The 4,753-nt window shown below is 41.8% G+C and overlaps 1 annotated feature.

Annotated features, from left to right (window-relative positions):
• Nucleotides 890-4,374: an enhancer, noted in NCBI's record as "CRE9". NCBI's record gives its function as "enhancer in posterior portion of the heart" and the evidence as "EXISTENCE:transgenic organism evidence [ECO:0001131][PMID:22543974]".

Below are 4,753 nucleotides of genomic sequence, written 5' to 3'. Positions count from 1 at the left end.
AATGCATGCTTAAGTGTGAGAATCACTGTTCTAAGTCGCCTGAAGCTCACTTCCAAGAGGGTCATTGTCGATCATCATTAGTTATTGTCAGCATCACTGTGTGCTGACCATGTGCAAAACACGTGCTGAGGCTTTACATACATATCTAAATGAATCACCACAGACCCTATGAAGAGGGTGCTATGATGTTCATCCCCATTTCACAGATAAAGAAACTAATGCACAGAAACATTAATTTGTCATGTGTTACTCTGCAATTAAGTGGCAGAGCTAGGACTAGAATTTAGCTCTCTCTGTTTTAAAGCACGCATCATATACCTGCCCCTCTTAGGGAGATCTAATTGCCAGCTCCATAGCACAAGGGAAGGGGAAATAATTAGATTTAGCAAGATCATGAGACTGGTCTTGGAAACTCACCTCTGTTTAAGCATCAGAATCCCCTGGGGAGCTTTTTAAACTTCCTCATGCCCAGGCATCACCATCTCTGGACAGGGGACCTCAACGCTGCTTCCAATGAGCAGCTAAGGTTGAAAGTCACAAATGTAAAGAGTTTCCTTCTCAATTGGAGACTGGCTTCTACTTCCTTTCATTTCTGCTCAGTGCTGTACCCACCAGTTCCTTAGAGGGTATTTCCCTCCATGGGAAGAACCCACAGAAAAAGCCATACATTCATAAATAGATCCTCTGCAATTAATAGAACTCTAACCATAAGGCTCACCATCATTTTACAAATTGGGAAACAGAGGCTCAGAGGGGGCCAGTAGACTTCCCAAGCTTGCACAGCAAGTTCTTGTGGGAGAGGGTCTCTTAATACCCCATCCCAGCAATTGAATATTCTTCAAGCTAAACAGCCCCCCAAAGCCTTAAACCCTTTCACTGTGAGAGAAGCTCTCAAGTCCTCTTGCGGTTTTGATTCCTCTTTTGCAATAGCACTTTGCATTTTCTCCTAAATTCCTTCCAGCTGTCAGGTAGGAGAGCCCCCTGATAAGGATTTCCCCAGTGTGGGAGAGAAACATTTACCAGAGGTAACTCAACACACCAGGCTCCCTCCCAACAGTTTCCAAGCATATGGAATATATTGTGGTCAGAGGGAAATATATTTTAAGAATTTCTCCTGCATCTTTTCAGATACATTCCACCAAGGATTACTACAGGTGTCATGAAAAGTTGGCTTTTGCTCTTTCCCAGTAAGAAGGAGGCAGACTTTGGCAGCAGAGTCAGCTCCATGGGTATGGGAGCCAGAACCAGCCTCAGCCAACTGCTGGAGATGGAGCCCTAGATCTAAACTCTCTCAAGTTCCGAGGTTGGTTGCTTCTCTGTTTTCCCTGGTGGGTGTGTCAGGGTAGAATATTAGTGAGAATGATAAACATTTATTGAGTGCTATGAAATTAGCATCCCCCTACTCTATCCTCTTACCATATATTTTCTCCTTCTAATCTATTATGCATTCATTTGGATTTTTCTTTCTTTGTGGTCAGACTTCCCCCACGAGGGCAGCAATTTTCCTTGTGTTTTTCCCCCAGCTTCTAGAATATCTCCTTTCACATAGTTGGTACTCAATAAATATTTGATGAATGGATGGGCTAACCTTTTTACATTCAGTCTATCACTTAATGTTCACGACAATCCCATAGGGTAGAAACTGTTCTTAACTTTCATTTTATAGGTGGGAGGAATGAAACTCAGAGAGGTTAAGTAGCTTGACACAGGTCACCTAGCCTATATCTGGTATATCCTAGATGCAAACACAGGTCTGACTAATTCCATAGCTCATCTTCTTAACAGTCCATGGGAGAGACAAGAAAAGCTTCAGGAGGCCAAGTCTTTGGGTAGATAATCTAATGCCCAGTGTATGTCAAAGCCCAGGCTGTGTAATGGTGAATAAGACACAGTTGCTGACTACAAAGAATTTACTATTAATGGAGAGAAATGAGTCAGTAAGTAATGGCAATGCAGTGTGGTGTTGTGACAGGGGGATGTTCAGGGGACCAGAAGAGTGTAGAGCACACATCTTTGTCAAAACCAGAGAAGGATTCCCGTAAGAGATGGCATGTCACTATCATCATCATCTTGTCTGTCTTCATCGTTATCATGGTCCTCAAAAGTTATAATTTACTGAGGTCTTTCTTTGTTCCACACAGCATGCCAAATTCTACACATTTTTTAAAATATAATTCTCCAAATAACCTATCAAGGATGAATAAACTGAGTCTCAGTGAGGTTATATAATTTGCCCAAGTCCCAGAGTAAGAGGCTGGACTGGGATTGGATCTCAGTTTTTTCAGTGCTACAGTCATTGCCACCCCAATGTGTTGTGGGGAGGTCGCCACATAAAGGGGAGGAAATGTGTTCTATGCAAAGGAAACGGCACAGACAAATGTTGAGAAGTAAGAGAAGTAGATCTCTAAGGCAGAGGTGAGAAGAAAGTTTTAGAAGCCTTACCCCAAGGCCCAGACTACAAACTTGGGTGACCTCACCTGGGACATAACAGACTCTCAGACATGTGCATGGGCCTCCGCCAGGTTTAATCAACAGAGGTCATGAGGTTGGCATTCCATGGCACAAAATGTGGTTGCTCAGATAATGGGAGTTACGGGCAAGGCTATTGCCTGTGGCCAGAGTAGGCAGAGTTGAGCAATGATAATGCAACATTTCATTCAACCAACTTTCCAAGACCCATTCCAAGTTGGACCCAGAGGTTACATCATAATTGCAGTCTTAGATCTCAGACCCTGTGAGTCTTGCTGGTTGGAAGCCCTTCCACCAGATAGTTCCATCTTATTGTAGGAATAATCAAAGGGCCCTGACATGAGATGGGGGTATAGCTTTCTTTTTCTCACTGAACCTTACAGAGCCCAATTTCCTGTTCCCCTTCTCTACCTCCAGCACTGTGTCATCATCCCTTATTGATGCAAAATCTTTGTAATGGCTCCATTTTTCATTTGTCTGGGGTGGGGGAAACATTCCTTGCTGGTTCTGTCCACCTCTTCAGATGTATTCAGATGCTGAACTCATAGCTCCTGGAAGAATCCACATCCACATCTAGGCTAAGTGGGTAAGGAACCATGTGGTGTCTTTCTAATGGACCAGCTGATTTGATCATGTGATTCCTCAGCCATAGCTGATTGGACCAGCTGATTTGATTATGGTACAGCTGGTTGGGCCATGTGATCTGTCAGCCACATCGATAATTTAAAGGACAACAGTCCACTGTTTGACAAGATACCTGTGTGGACAAGCCAACAAGAATGAGTTGGTTCTTCTGTTACCACCTTCTTTTGTGTTATATAAATATTTTAAGTGTAACTTTTAATTCCTCTGTTGTTATTTTTACTATATTTTAAAAATTATTTTCTTAGTGATTGTTTTGGGATTATAATATAATCTTAATTTGTTTAATCTACTTCAGATTAATAGTAATTCAATTCTAGTAAAATATAAAAAGCTTGCTCCAATATAGCTCCATTTTATCCCCCTCCTTGATACTCAGTTCTCTGAAATCTGCTCGTTATACAATGCAAAAATATATATAACACAATCACAAAGTTGTTAAAATATACTGAACATTTCTGTGATTCAGGCTGTATGCTAAGCACTTATGTGCAATATCGTCTAATCTTAAAAACAAACAAAAACAAAATCATAAGGTGATGCTATAATTACCGTCATCTTAGGCATAAAAAATAAAGTGTAGAAATGTTTGAGTAATTTGCTCAAAAATGCACTGCTAGCAAGTGATAGAAATGGAATTCTAAGTCATGACTTTTAACAAACTTGGTAACAAACGAAACTATTTCAGGCCAGATTAAAAGATGGTGACTGCAGATTCACTTTGGGGGTAAGAGTTGAGAAATTCAAGGTTGAGTTATAGAGCCTGAAGCCCAGAGCTATAGTGTGTCTAAGATTTGTTAACTTCTTTCTTTTGAGCAGCATTCAGTTTAAGAGTTGATCAACACTTAGTGAACATCCACAGTGTCACCAGGGATGGCAGAGTGATGTCACAGGTGCATCTGTCAGAAGCTCACTGTACCCTGACCACTTCTCACTTTATATCCTCTACCCTGAACCCCTCCCCCATGCATTCATTTGGAAGACATTGGATTGTCCCAGTAAGGGAGCATTAAAAGTGCAGCCAAGTGCAACTTGCATGTTTTCCACCTTCTCAGCGAGCCTGAATTAATAGGTCAGTCCAAAGTGACTCAGAGGAAATCAATATTCTTCCCCTGGTCCCTGAGCTCCACAATGGACCTGACTCAACTGCCTTCTTTTATTTAACCCTTCCCTGTAATGTTGGCAACAAAACATGTATGATGACTCACTAAAAGTTCTTTCTCATGTGGCAGAAACTCCTGTGTTTACTCTCCCCAGAACTCTAGCTGAGACCACCTCTCCCTTTTTCATTCCCCCACTCCCCAGGCATATCTGCTTTGAATCATTGCCAATCCAGGGAGCAGGGATTCCACTTTAACAAAAGGCAGAACTTGACTTCAGAGCTGATTCAAGCCTTGGAGTAATTTCATCCCTCCTTACTCACTTGAATCTAGTGGAAGTCAATAAATAGAATGGTGAGGAAGGTGTTGATGGCTCTGACCACCATCCCAAGGACTCTTCACACACTCCATCATCTCCTCCCGTGAGACAGACCTGTGTCATTTAGCTAGCTTTCAGAATTTGAAAGCACTTTCTTCTCTGGCTCTCAAACCATTGTTTCAATTACTATCAAACAGATCCCACCAATCTCTCTGAAAAGCTA

The sequence above is a fragment of the Homo sapiens genome, chromosome 12 (genome assembly GCF_000001405.40).
Source record: "Homo sapiens chromosome 12, GRCh38.p14 Primary Assembly".
Taxonomy (NCBI): domain Eukaryota; kingdom Metazoa; phylum Chordata; class Mammalia; order Primates; family Hominidae; genus Homo; species Homo sapiens.
This window is presented reverse-complemented; position numbering and strand designations above follow the sequence as displayed.